Source organism: Homo sapiens, chromosome 9 (assembly GCF_000001405.40).
Source record: "Homo sapiens chromosome 9, GRCh38.p14 Primary Assembly".
NCBI lineage: Eukaryota > Metazoa > Chordata > Mammalia > Primates > Hominidae > Homo > Homo sapiens.
The window spans coordinates 10,010,001-10,023,779 of record NC_000009.12 but is presented as its reverse complement, the minus strand read 5'-3'; the positions used below and the strand labels follow the sequence as shown (position 1 = coordinate 10,023,779).

The following is a 13,779-nucleotide window of genomic DNA, read 5'->3' as shown; positions in this document are numbered from 1 at the left end:
TTCCCAAAGCTTTTTTTTTTGGACTTAACACTTCTGTAGCATTTGTACTTAGGCCCTAAATTGCAATTCAATATATAATTGAATGGCTGAGGCTAATAAGAAAGTAAAATTTCCCATAATTCTGTAGTAACTCTCACACTTTATTAGAAAAAAAAAAATAGTTCCATGTAAGTTCTGGCAAATAAAATGCATGAGAGATCATGATCATGTGAAGAAAATAAAAGAAAAAAACAAGTGAATATAAAGATTTGTGAAATATTTGATGGTACAAACACAGAAGTTAACTTTATATACAGAAAAGATGTAGAACTTTACTTTCTCAAGTACGTGGAAGAAATCATGTGCAGAATTGAATTTTGTTTTCACAAAAGGACGGACAGGAGTCCTTGCTTTTCAGTTTATAATACCCCATTATTCAGGCATACATGTCTGTGGCATGGCTGGAGAGGCCCAGGTTCCTTTCCCAATGGAAGCCCTGAATTCTCCATTATTAGAAAAGTTTGAAGATAAATTGTTGTCTGTTAATTTATAATGATTGGTTATACACTTAAAATGATTAATTCTAATTTGATTAGTCGTAACAGTGATACATTTATGTATATACACACGTGTACATAGAAACATATTTAATGATTTACAGAAATCTAAATAAGTTTTGCTTATAATCAATGTGTCAAAAATCTTCCTTTCATTTGAGAATTTGTAGTATACATATAAAAATAGGTAAAATATTATTTTAATTTTAACAGTTGGACAAAGAATATATGCGTCTAGTACAATATTTTCTGAGGCAAAATACAATTCCATTTAAAGACAGCTTTATATAAAGCCAGTATAAGATGTTTCTGGAAGCATAAAAATACTGAGGCATAAAACATGCTAAAGGAACAACCTAATTACAACCATATAATTCAATGGGCTATCTGCTCTATAATGTTGAATTATTGAGAACAGGAAAACAATTAATGGAAGAAATCATTTTTAAAATGGGAATTCAGCATTTTGGCTCCCCTTTATAGCATTTTATTCATTCTAGTGGCTAAAATAAAACTTAGTCAATGTAAATCTTAACTGCTACCCAATCTACATAAACCACAATAAATTAATTTAATGATTTTTTTCCTATAGTTTAGAATGAAATACTCACTGTGTAAAAATTGTGTAGTTTGTTTTTTATTCTGTGCACTACAAGTGCCTTTTGGCCTTATTTTCTTTCCAGTTACTTGCTGAAATGTAATGCCATTACTTTCAATGGCAAAAACCGTGATTACTTTTGCATCAACCTAATACTAATAATCTTGTGGGGTAGCACCTGAATATGAAAGGGAAAGTGATTCTCTGTTGCTTTCATTCAACAAACATTTATTCATTGCTCACTGTGTGTGCCAATAAATTAGAAAGGTATGTATGAGAGCAGTGTATCAGAAATAAGTAACAGATATGAGACCCAAACTGCCTTATGTTAGAGGGGTTTATCATCGAACATAACAAGGAAGAAAGTTCAAATTTCCAGGTTTGGTTATTCCTGTGACACACATGTCATGGAGGATTCAGGAAAAGTCCTAATTGTATGTAACTCTGCTTTCCTCGGATTTCCGTTCTTGGGTTTATTTACCCACGGTCACAAGGTGACTGCAAGATGACTGCTTCAAAGGCTTTGATTTTCTCATGCCTGAACACCTTCTACAGAAATGTACAGGCAGGCTCTCTTAAGTGCCACTGACCACATTTGAAAGCAGCATTACAAGATCAAGCATCTCACATTTTCATATTCTATGATGGAAGGCAGATCTATTAGAAGGGAATGCAAGTGTATGTATGTGGGAGTCGGTTGGCTGTTGATGAGCAACCAGAAATGTTTAACGTAAGTGATCTACACAATTGTGTTTTTACAGAGTTTAGAACAACCATACTGGTGTGTATAAGTCTAGCAAATCTTCACAGAGAAGGTAATGTTTGCCGTACAGAGGATGAGTAAGAGTTTTCAGATGAAGCAAGGGATTCATAAGTGGGCAGGGATGATGAGAATTATAGGATTTTCCAGTCACATTGATATTAAGTGGCTAGCATGTATTTCTAAGAATATTCTAGTGGCATAATAAATGTGAAAAAGGATCATGAAGTCAAGCCATCTAGACCATCCTGGGCAACGTGGTGAAACCCCGTCTCTACTAAAAAAACAAAAATTAGCTGGGTGTGATGGCGGCACACCTGTAGTCCCAGCTACTCGGGAGGCTGAGGCAAGAGAATCGCTTGAACCCGAGAAGTGGAGGTCGCAGTGAGCCGAGATCATGCCACTGCACTCCAGCCTGGTGACAGAGCAAGACTCCGTCAAAGAAAAAAGAAAAAGAAACTAATATTGTATTGATATACACCTAAGCTACACCGTGATTACTTTTGCATCAACCTAATACTAATAATCTTGTGGGGTAGCACCTGAATATGAAAGGGAAAGTGATTCTCTGTTGCTTTCATTCAACAAACATTTATTCATTGCTCACTGTGTGTGCCAATAAATTAGAAAGGTATGTATGAGAGCAGTGTATCAGAAATAAGTAACAGATATGAGACCCAAACTGCCTTATGTTAGAGGGGTTTATCATCGAACATAACAAGGAAGAAAGTTCAAATTTCCAGGTTTGGTTATTCCTGTGACACACATGTCATGGAGGATTCAGGAAAAGTCCTAATTGTATGTAACTCTGCTTTCCTCGGATTTCCGTTCTTGGGTTTATTTACCCACGGTCACAAGGTGACTGCAAGATGACTGCTTCAAAGGCTTTGATTTTCTCATGCCTGAACACCTTCTACAGAAATGTACAGGCAGGCTCTCTTAAGTGCCACTGACCACATTTGAAAGCAGCATTACAAGATCAAGCATCTCACATTTTCATATTCTATGATGGAAGGCAGATCTATTAGAAGGGAATGCAAGTGTATGTATGTGGGAGTCGGTTGGCTGTTGATGAGCAACCAGAAATGTTTAACGTAAGTGATCTACACAATTGTGTTTTTACAGAGTTTAGAACAACCATACTGGTGTGTATAAGTCTAGCAAATCTTCACAGAGAAGGTAATGTTTGCCGTACAGAGGATGAGTAAGAGTTTTCAGATGAAGCAAGGGATTCATAAGTGGGCAGGGATGATGAGAATTATAGGATTTTCCAGTCACATTGATATTAAGTGGCTAGCATGTATTTCTAAGAATATTCTAGTGGCATAATAAATGTGAAAAAGGATCATGAAGTCAAGCCATCTAGACCATCCTGGGCAACGTGGTGAAACCCCGTCTCTACTAAAAAAACAAAAATTAGCTGGGTGTGATGGCGGCACACCTGTAGTCCCAGCTACTCGGGAGGCTGAGGCAAGAGAATCGCTTGAACCCGAGAAGTGGAGGTCGCAGTGAGCCGAGATCATGCCACTGCACTCCAGCCTGGTGACAGAGCAAGACTCCGTCAAAGAAAAAAGAAAAAGAAAAAGAAACTAATATTGTATTGATATACACCTAAGCTAGGGGATAGTATTGTGCGGTGCCAAATTGTTGGTTCATTTTAAGCACAGAGAAAACAATGTCCAAATAAAATAGTAACTTTTAAAAATACTGTTTGGTTATAAAATGGTTCCTGTTTCAAAATAGAAGATAGTATTCTTATTAATAATAAATATTTAACTTCTTCAAATCACAAAAGTAAGGTTATTAATAACTTCCGTCTTTCTTCAACATCTGAAACTGAGTTATATAAAACAAGAGTAAAATTATTGTGCCAAACATTGTAATAAACCGTTTATATACATTAACCTGTATATGAATTAACTCACAATGCCACTAAGAAAGCACTATAATTTTTTTTATTATACTTTAAGTTCTAGGGTACATGTGCACAACATGCATGTTAGTTACATATGTATACATATGCCATGTTGGTGTGCTGCACCCAGTAACTCGTCATTTAACATTAGGTATAACTCCTAATGCTATCCCTCCCAGCTCCCCCCCACCCCACAACAGGCCCCAGTGTGTGATGTTCCCCTTCCTGTGTCCGTGTGTTCTCATTGTTCAATTCCCACCTATGAGTGAGAACATGCGGTGTTTAGTTTTTTGTCCTTGCGATAGTTTGCTGAGAATGACGGTTTCCAGCTTCATCCATGTCCCTACAAAGGACATGAACTCATCCTTTTTTATGAATGCATAGTATTCCATGGTGTATATGTGCCACATTTTCTTAATCCAGTCTATCATTGTTGGACTTTTGGCTTGGTTCCAAGTCTTTGCTATTGTGAATAGTGCCACAATAAACATACGTGTGCATGTGTCTTTATAGCAGCATGATTTATAATCCTTTGGGTATATACCCAGTAATGGGATGGCTGGGTCAAATGGTATTTCTAGTTCTAGATCCCTAAGGAATCGCCACACTGACTTCCACAATGGTTGAACTAGTTTACAGTCCCACCAACAGTGTAAAAGTGTTCCTATTTCTCCACATCCTCTCCAGCCCCTGTTTTTTCCTGACTTTTTAATGATCGCCATTCTAACTGATGTGAGATGGTATCTCACTGTGGTTTTGATTTGCATTTCTCTGATGGCCAGTGATGGTGAGCATTTTTTCATGTGTCTTTTGGCTGAATAAATGTCTTCTTTTGAGAAGTGTCTGTTCATATCTTTCGCCCACTTTTTGATGGGGTTGTTTGTTTTTTCTTGTAAATTTATTTGAGTTCATTGTAGATTCTGGATATTAGCCCTTTGTCAGATGAGTAGATTGCAAAAATTTTCTCCCATTCTGTAGGTTGCCTGTTCACTCTGATGGTAGTTTCTTTTGCTGCGCAGAAGCTCTTTAGTTTAATTAGATCCCATTTGTAAATATTTTTGCAGAAAAATACCCTTAAAGTATTGTGCATATTAACAATGTGTGTATTAGAAATGTAATTCTGGCCGGGCGCGGTGGCTCACGCCTGTAATCCCAGCACTTTGGGAGGCCGAGGCGGGCGGATCACGAGGTCAGGAGATCGAGACCATCCCGGCTAAAACGGTGAAACCCCGTCTCTACTAAAAATACAAAAAAAATTAGCCGGGCGTAGTGGCGGGCGCCTGTAGTCCCAGCTACTTGGGAGGCTGAGGCAGGAGAATGGCATGAACCCGGGAGGCGGAGCTTGCAGTGAGCCGAGATCCCGCCACTGCACTCCAGCCTGGGCGACAGAGCGAGACTCCGTCTCAAAAAAAAAAAAAAAAAAAAAAAAAAAGAAATGTAATTCTTAAATAAATCATTTTAGCAGAGTAATGGTATATTTGAGAACAAATATTTTTAAAAGCTTAAAAAATAAAAATTTTATCTGCTATTTGTATCACACGATAAACATGAAATTTATAAGGGGACACAGATCTAGACACTTAAGAAAGCTCTGAAACTGACAGATACACTGAGAAAGTCTGCCTGTATCTGACGGCTTATTGCTTCTGATTTATTGGAATATATAAAAGAGATAGAAAGGGAAAAATCCCAATCAAAACCTCTAAATTCCAAGATTTTTTTTTCCTTTCCTTTTCTTTTGTCTTCCTCCCCTTCCTCCTACTCCTTCTCTCTCTCTCCTCCTCTTCCCCTCCCTCCCTCACATTCTTCCTCTTTCTCATCAGATCCTGGTTCTTTATTTTTGTGTATTTGTGTATGAGAGGGGATTTCATAACCTAATAATCTAGTAATGAAATTACTAATCAAAAGTAAAGAGTCAGAAAAAGACAATAAATAAAACTAACTTATGCTGTTAAAACTAAAAATAATAACTCCACTTGGGTAGAAGCTAAGTCCTAGAATGTACCATGGGGGAGATCTCTGGGGACCCCTGCTGTTCTGGGACTTCATTTGAGTGTTGTTTTAAGTGAGGGTATTCAAATGTTTTTAATCTTCATTTGAGTGTTGGTTACAATTTTACATGAGGGCATTCAATTGGGGAAAGTTTCATCAAGACATTCTTGAAAAATTAATTCTCCCAAATATCAAAATATTAAATAAATATAATAAGAAAATGTGTCATTGGTTTAGTAATACAGAAATAAGTAAAGAACAGAATACAGATTCCAGAAAGAGATGCGATTGCCAGAGAAAAGATGGATTATTTAATATATGTACTAAGATAATTGATTTTTCATATGGAAAAATTAAAATTGGCCTCCTACTTCACACCATTCAGTCTAAATGAACTAAAGATTTAAACCTGAAAACAAGGCTTCCAGACTTGAGGAACATGAAAAATAAAATATCTGTATAGTTAAGATGTGGAGGATTCTAAGACAAGCTTTGCTTAAATAAGGTATAATCCATGAAGGAAAAGATTAATACATTTTATACCAATAAAAATAAGAACTGTTTATAAAACATGTTTATAGTCCATAAAGAAAATTAGTAAAGCCAAAAAATTAAATATATGCAACACATATAACTTAAACAGTAAAACCTACAAAAAGGACTCCTGAACATTGATAAAAAAAAAGATAAAATAAATGGACAAAGAAATGGACAAATTTTACAAGTTAATAGCTTATACCTTTATGAAAATATGCTATCAATAAGATAAATGCAAATTAAACACAATAATTAATATTCGATGTCCACCAGACTGTCAAAACTAAAAACATTGGGCATATTACTACTTGTTAGTAAACATGTGTATGATTGGGAACTTTATTCACATTACTGGTGGGAATGTAGATTGGAACAGTTTGGAAAACAATTTGATATTTTCTTATGAGACTAAAGGTGTTTCAACCGTGACACAAACTTCTCATTACTATCCTAAAGAAATGCTTACAAATGTACAATAGGAGGGCACAATGGCTCACTCCTGTAATCCCAGCACTTTGGGAGGCCAAAGCAGGAGAATCTCTTGAGCTCAGGATTTTGAGACCAGCTTGGGAAACATAGCGAGACCCTGTCTCTACAAAAAATCAAAAGATTAGCCAGACATGATGGTGCATGCATGTAGTCCCTGCTACTTTGGAGGCCAAGGTAGGAAGCTGGCTTGAGCCCAAGAGATCGAGGATGCAGTGAGCCATCATCCTGCCACTGCACTCCAGCCTGGCTGACAGAACAAAATTCTGTGGAAAAAAAAAACAACCCACAGGAGGCATTTTCAGTAGTATTTCTAGTAGCATTTTCACTAGAAATAAACAGACAAACCTGGAAACAATCTCCACATTTCTCCACTTTAAAATTGCAATTTTCCTTTAATAATTAATAAGTACCCTATAGAGACATGCTTTGAGACTATTCTGTTCTTTCTCTAACTTTCACCCACAGTTTTAGCTTTCTTTGATGATTTACAGACACCATCATTTTATCTATATTTCTTGGCATACTGAAATAAGAAAGAATTTCCCTATCTATCTGTCTATCTATCTATCTATCTATCTATCTATCTATCTATCTAATCTTTCTATCATCTATCTCATTTCCCTGGACACACGGATGGCTACTTTATTCAAATAGTTATAACTCACTACTGTAAATGGGTTACTATAAACAAGTGTATTTTAAAAGAAAACAATGTCATTAGCAAATTTTTAAAAACAAGCATTTTTCTAATACTTGCCGAAAAGAAGAAATAACAAATGTACATATACAAACCTCCCAAAATTGTATACATATTTAGGGAGATCACATTAGACCTTTACCAACCACATATGATTTAATTGAGATTGATAGCCAGTATATTTCCAGGTTCTGAGGGACAAAGACCAATAGGAGTCATTGAAGGTGGTTGTAGCCTGGTACCTGCCTCAGGAGAAGTCGATTCAAGTATATTGTCTTGTAGACAGAGTGTGGTGTCAGTCAACTGGTAATTAGAGAGAGAGGTTTATGGGACACATGGTACAAAGTCTTAAGATCAGGAGAGCAGTACTTCTCAATGTGATCCTGAAATGAAATGTTTCAAAATGACCTTGTAGTATCTTACATTATAAAACTTGCTTAGTTTCTAGATCCTACCAGAGGAGAAATAAATTTCTTAAGATACTATGATAATGGTGGCAGCTGCTGGCTGCTATTGTGGTTCCCCCACCTCTTTCTCTTCTTTCTGCTACTCCTCTTCCTTCTCGTTCTTTTTCTTTTAGTAATATATCAGAATTACCTGGCTTTGTGTTAAAGGCTTTGCAAGTAAGTACACAATTTAAATCTCACAGTGATCCCCATTTTAAAGTTGAGGCTTGGATTGACTCCTACTTCTTCAGTATCCTATAAAATACTAACTGCCTTTATATTTCTACTATGTCCTATACAGCCTCAGAGCTCAATTGTCAGTTGATTGCAACTTCACCTTTAATTGTTCCCAAAGGGTTTCTTTCAAACGAGGCATGAGTAATTTGAGTGTAAATTATTTTCACATAGACACATTGACTTTGTGCTATTGTGGATAATCTTGTCTTACTGCCATGATTTTCTTAACTACTTAAATATTTATTTAGTGTAATAACAATAATTATAAAATCTAAGTCAGCAGCTGTTATTGCACATATTTTTGTTGCTGAAAAATTCAATTAGCGGCATTGTTAGCTAAACCAATGAAAAAGCTGGTAACTCTGAAAAGGTCAATTCTGAGTTATTGTTGCCCATAATCATTTCCCAAGCCATTAAGCCTATAAAATCCAATTGAAACTGAAAGCCATAAAAGTAAATTATAGAAAAGCTGCCCAGGTAGGTGGTGAGAGTTCCATACCTGTGAGTAAGACACTTGTCTTCAGAAATTACTTCAAGTGGATTACCCATAATAGAACTACTCTAGTGGATGCCATGTGGCTATTACCATTTACAGATCCCATATATTGAAGACATTTTAATTACTCAATCCCAAACAATTCAATGAGGGGAAGTGCTAACTGAAGCGGTTTTTAAATGCCCCATAAAGTGGGGCAGTAAGTCTCTTCAATTTAAGGATAGAAGAAAAAACACAATTAAATATAGAAATAACCACGCACTTAGTCACATCAAAGGTCTTTTGTTGCAATACAGATTTATGCCAAAATAGGTCTATATCATATAATTTTAATGGATAATTAAAAATATGCATTTGTTCCAAATCAAAGTGTTTCTCTCCTTTCCTTGTTCTATTCTTATTTCACGTTTCATTTCTCATCTGTAAAGTCAGCTTCCTCTTGTCATTTATGACTTGTTGAGGCTGTGTCTTTTCAATAAAGTAAAATATACTGAAAGTGTTAATGACATGTAAATAAAATATAATTTTGTAAGGAAATGCATTATTTCTAGAGTGAATACAATTGTCTTTCATGTTACCAAGTCATTAGAAAACAACCATTTGAATACAGCAATAACTCTCAAAGTCAAAATGCACCTAGAATGCTTCATGGTCACTGGACTTTTATATATGCAATTAACAGTCTACATAATAAAATGTGAAAAGTAAATGTAACATTCCTTCTTGGAAGACAATGGAGAAGTGGAAAGAATATGGGCTTTGCAACCTAATTACCTGAATGGGAATTGCAGCTCAAATTACTTAGCCTCACTGAGTCTTAGTTTCCTCATCTGTGAAGTGAGAAAAACATTTATTTTCCTGCTTTAAGGGACATTTCATTATCATTACTGATTGATGTCAGTAAATTGGTTTGTATTATATTCAGGACTGAAATGTTATGTAACTTTAAGCAAACAACTCTCTAGTCTTTTACGATACCATTTTTCTAGTTGGCAACTGAAAATGGATGATAGGGGCTGACATGTGAAGATTTATTTATTCAGAAACTCTAATAACCTTGGAGATAACTTTAGACTAAGGAATAAAATAAAGAACACATGTTTAGAATTACAGATTTGTCCTTTGTTTCATTCAATGCTATTAAGCAGAAGGGTACAAAACCTAAATTTTGAGAGCTATACACAAAGAAGAAACAAACAAAAAAACCTATGAGATGACTCTGCATATTAACCAAGAATATCAAATTCTAGAACATTATTATGTGAACCAAAATATAAAATAGCTAGCAGAAATTTAAAACATAAAAGTTGAATATATCTTTCATTGAAACAGCACCTTGAAAAACAATTCTGAAGTTGTCAGCATACCTACATCTATTTTTATTAAAAACTCAGTGAAGTATTTCATCCATGTGTACTGGAGTCTTTGTAAAATTTATTACACTTGTAGTAATTGCCATCAATTACTTATCTGTGTTGAAATTTTTTTTTTCAGCTACTACATTGTATCTGAAGTAGATGATCTTCAGCTTTGTACACTGACTTTACCTCTGAAATTAATTGGTAAAAAATTCTGAGGTGAATCTCTGTTTCCTGCCCTTTTGGTATGGCTTGTTATAAGAGGAAATAAGGAGTACCTATATAGTCTTAAGTGTTTAAAAAATATGCAAATAACATAAATCAGGATTGATTATTTATTTACAAATGGAATATTCATTTACTTAAATTTACATTTGAATACAAATTTAATTTTATTCTTTGATTTCTGTGATAACTGTCTTTCGCCAGCATTAGCACAGTAAAATTCTCTAACTAGAGGCCAGGGACCTGATGTCTCCTCCAGTGTCCATCTGTGGCCTTGTAAAAGTCACTGAAAAACTTCTGAAGGCTTTTATTCTTTTACAAAATCATGACAATAAAGACTTATTGTAGGTATACTCGGTATACTCACAACATAACATGGTAGAAATAATACTGGCTTTGAATTTGTGTAATTGAAGTTCAAATCATTGATTTGCCACTTCTCGTTTCCTGTGCTTATTCTATTCTCTAGCGGATATGCTTTTCTAACAGATCATGGAAATGATTATTAAAATATTGAAGTATTTTATTTATCTATTCATGATCTTGAAAATTACAAAGATCATTTCCAGGTAATAATTTAATCTCATGCTCATTGATTTGACTGTGTTTGCTGGGTTGTATGTCTTCTGTTATTTTGTGCTTTGGAGTTTACCTTCTAAGCAGCTATCCCAATTACATATGATTCAATACCTATGCAAGCAGTTTGGTCCTTGGAAATCTTTCTATCAAGAACACACTCGGGGTTTTCCTTTTTTCTATATTTAACACATGACCCAAATATTGAGCATTGCAGTGTTCTTGTGATAGGTGTAAAACCTTACACTGAGGAATTATCATGTTCCAATAACAGTGCTAGTCTTGGGTAACGAAATAGTGAGTAAAATCTGACATTTTCCTATAGCATTCTTGTCTACTAGACTTCTCTCTTATAGTTTAGTAATCTAATGTATGTGATTATTTTCTTTTTAAAAATAAATGCCTTCTTAGTTATAAGGTGTGGTGAAAGGATTGTGGAGAATGACTTTTTTGAGATGGGAATTGCTTAAACTTTAAAAAATCATCTTACACATAAGTGAAAAGTTGCAACTGTGATAGTACTCAAAGGAACAGTGGAAAACACGATTTTTTTTTCCATCTGCTTTTCCACTTTTTTAGCTAATTTTTTTTCTTCTTGTCTGAATCTTCCACCGACCCTACCCCCTTTTTGTTATCTCTCACTTCATCTTGTGATTAAAACCTCATTTCAATTTGGTCATATAGATGATTATCCCTTTAATATTCTATGAGGTACTTTTTTACAATTCTTCAAAATTCTTGCAAAGTTCCATTTGTATACGTCTTACAATGTTAAACAACTTTCAATAATTAAATAAATATTAAAAATCATTTGATGAAGGGAATTCTTACATATGTTAGTACTTTTCACAAATAGTTATACCTACATGTTTCCTGTCAATATCAATATTTATAATTGAAAAAGAAGGATTTAATGTGATAAAAAGTTAATTAGCAAAACAAAAGCGAGTTTCCGGAACATACAAAGGCCAAAACAATACCACTGGCCAGACACAATGGAAGGGACTCTATGAAGGTTTATCCCCACTGTCTCTGCATCCTTACCTCCAAAACTGAGGGTACTGATTACTGATTAAATACAATCCATTTTAGGAGGTGACTGATAAGATATAAGAAATGCTTCTCTAAATTCAAATTAATGTTTTAATAGAAAACTAAGGGACTGAATGACTCTGAAATTCTTCTCAAACTTGTAATCATAAATTACTATTTCAAATCCACAAATGTCCAGAGTTCAACATGTTACAATGTATATTTTTTTGAGGAATAAGCTTATACCCATTTTTAAGTAAACCAAAAACACAAATATTATCTAAGCCAATCTTGCACTGGGTATTTATCAGCAGGGAAGGCATTATGTTTTGATGCTAGTCTATTTATTATTGTGCCTTGGTTTTTGTTAAATAAAGTAGAGGAGTCAATGAAAACTAATTTAAGATACTTATGCATTCGACAGCTAAAAGCAAAAAATGAGTTAGAATAAGTTCTTCTTTTATTTGTTTTGTTAAATTTTAAGTTCCAAATTGCTAGGAAATGCCAGCTTCTTGATATCTCTTTAGATATGTAGTGACTTAACTACCAAGGAAAAGAAAATTGGAAACAATTTAACTAAATTCAATCCAACCCACCAATATTTTACAATTCAATGCTTTTCTAATGATCAGATCTTCAGTTTTTAGTATTTGAAATAAAAGTTAACAACTTGGAACACTGTCAAGGTTCTGCTGAACCTTCCAATCCAAGAAAAATAGTCTAATCTGTGTGATTATGTTCTTTTTAAAATAATTGCCTTCTACAGGTATAAGGTGTGGTGAAGGGATTGTGGAGAATGACTTTCTTCTTAAAGCAATTATTTATGTATTCATTTAATATTTGTATGAAATGAACAACTTTGTAGGATTTGCAGTATATCCATGTCCTAACCAGATGAAATACTTTGGTATTGGCTTCTTGTCCATAATTACTTTATGATCTAATTTTCCTGATAACACTAGAATATTTAAAATGTTACCTAGATTTTTTTTTCTTTTGACTAGAACAATTATTGCCTTGGTTTGAATGCAAAGACATATGTAATAATTGGGAATGTGAAAAATGTTATTAGTGTTAAGTTAGTTTTAACACAGAAGTTTCATAGCATTCTTTTGGTCTCCTCATTACCATAATGATCTAAATAAAATTGTTTTCAAACCTCGATTTTTTATTCCATTGATTTCTCAAAATATCTCTATTTATGTGCATTTGTGTGAAAGAGTAGAAGTTGGGACCTAATGGTTACCTCTGGCTTGGAAATCCAGCCACCATTAACTGAGTTGAGTATACAACTTGCCTGAGTGCTGTGCATGGCCACTTGAAGGTACACTACACTGACCCAGGTGTGGAACTCATCCTATGGAACTCATCAATACCTGAATAAGTCCTCCCTCATTTTCCTCATTTTTCACCAATCCCCTCCCTCATTTTCCACCAAAAGTTAAATTAAATTAAATTAAATTAAATTTTAAATTTAAAAATCAACACAAGCAGACATTACTGAAAATCTGAGAGGCAAACAGGCAATTATATAAACGCACATGTTCGAACAATTGTAGACATCTTGCTTAATGCATTTTGAGAAAATTACTATGTAAATGAATTACATTTTAAAATAATTTAAAATCTATACTCAGTCTCTTTGCCCTGAGGTCATGGTGTTTGGAGACATGTGGATTGCAGTTTCTTTTCCAATTTCTAGTTGGGTGAACATGGACAAGTGAGTTAATTTCCTAAATTTGTTTTCTCAACTTAAAATGAAGATAATAATACCAACCGATTAGATTGTTCTAAAGATTAAATGTGTAAATCAAAAATAAAATTCCAAGCCTCTCAACCAACTGAATGGACCCCTCCTCTCGGCCAAGGGGATTTCAAAGTAATC

At 34.5% G+C, this 13,779-nt stretch overlaps 1 protein-coding gene across 38 annotated transcripts in view, besides 1 other annotated feature; it reads left to right on the top strand.

Moving 5' to 3' along the window:
• PTPRD (protein tyrosine phosphatase receptor type D) overlaps positions 1-13,779 on the top strand; it is a 2,298,757-nt gene that overhangs the window by 589,223 nt on the left and 1,695,755 nt on the right. The window lies entirely within an intron of this gene.
• Positions 11,590-12,108: an enhancer, noted in NCBI's record as "NANOG hESC enhancer chr9:10011672-10012190 (GRCh37/hg19 assembly coordinates)". NCBI's record gives its function as "activates a minimal SCP1, AML or CMV promoter by ChIP-STARR-seq in naive H9 embryonic stem cells {active_cell/tissue: H9 hESC(naive)}" and the evidence as "EXISTENCE:reporter gene assay evidence [ECO:0000049][PMID:30033119]".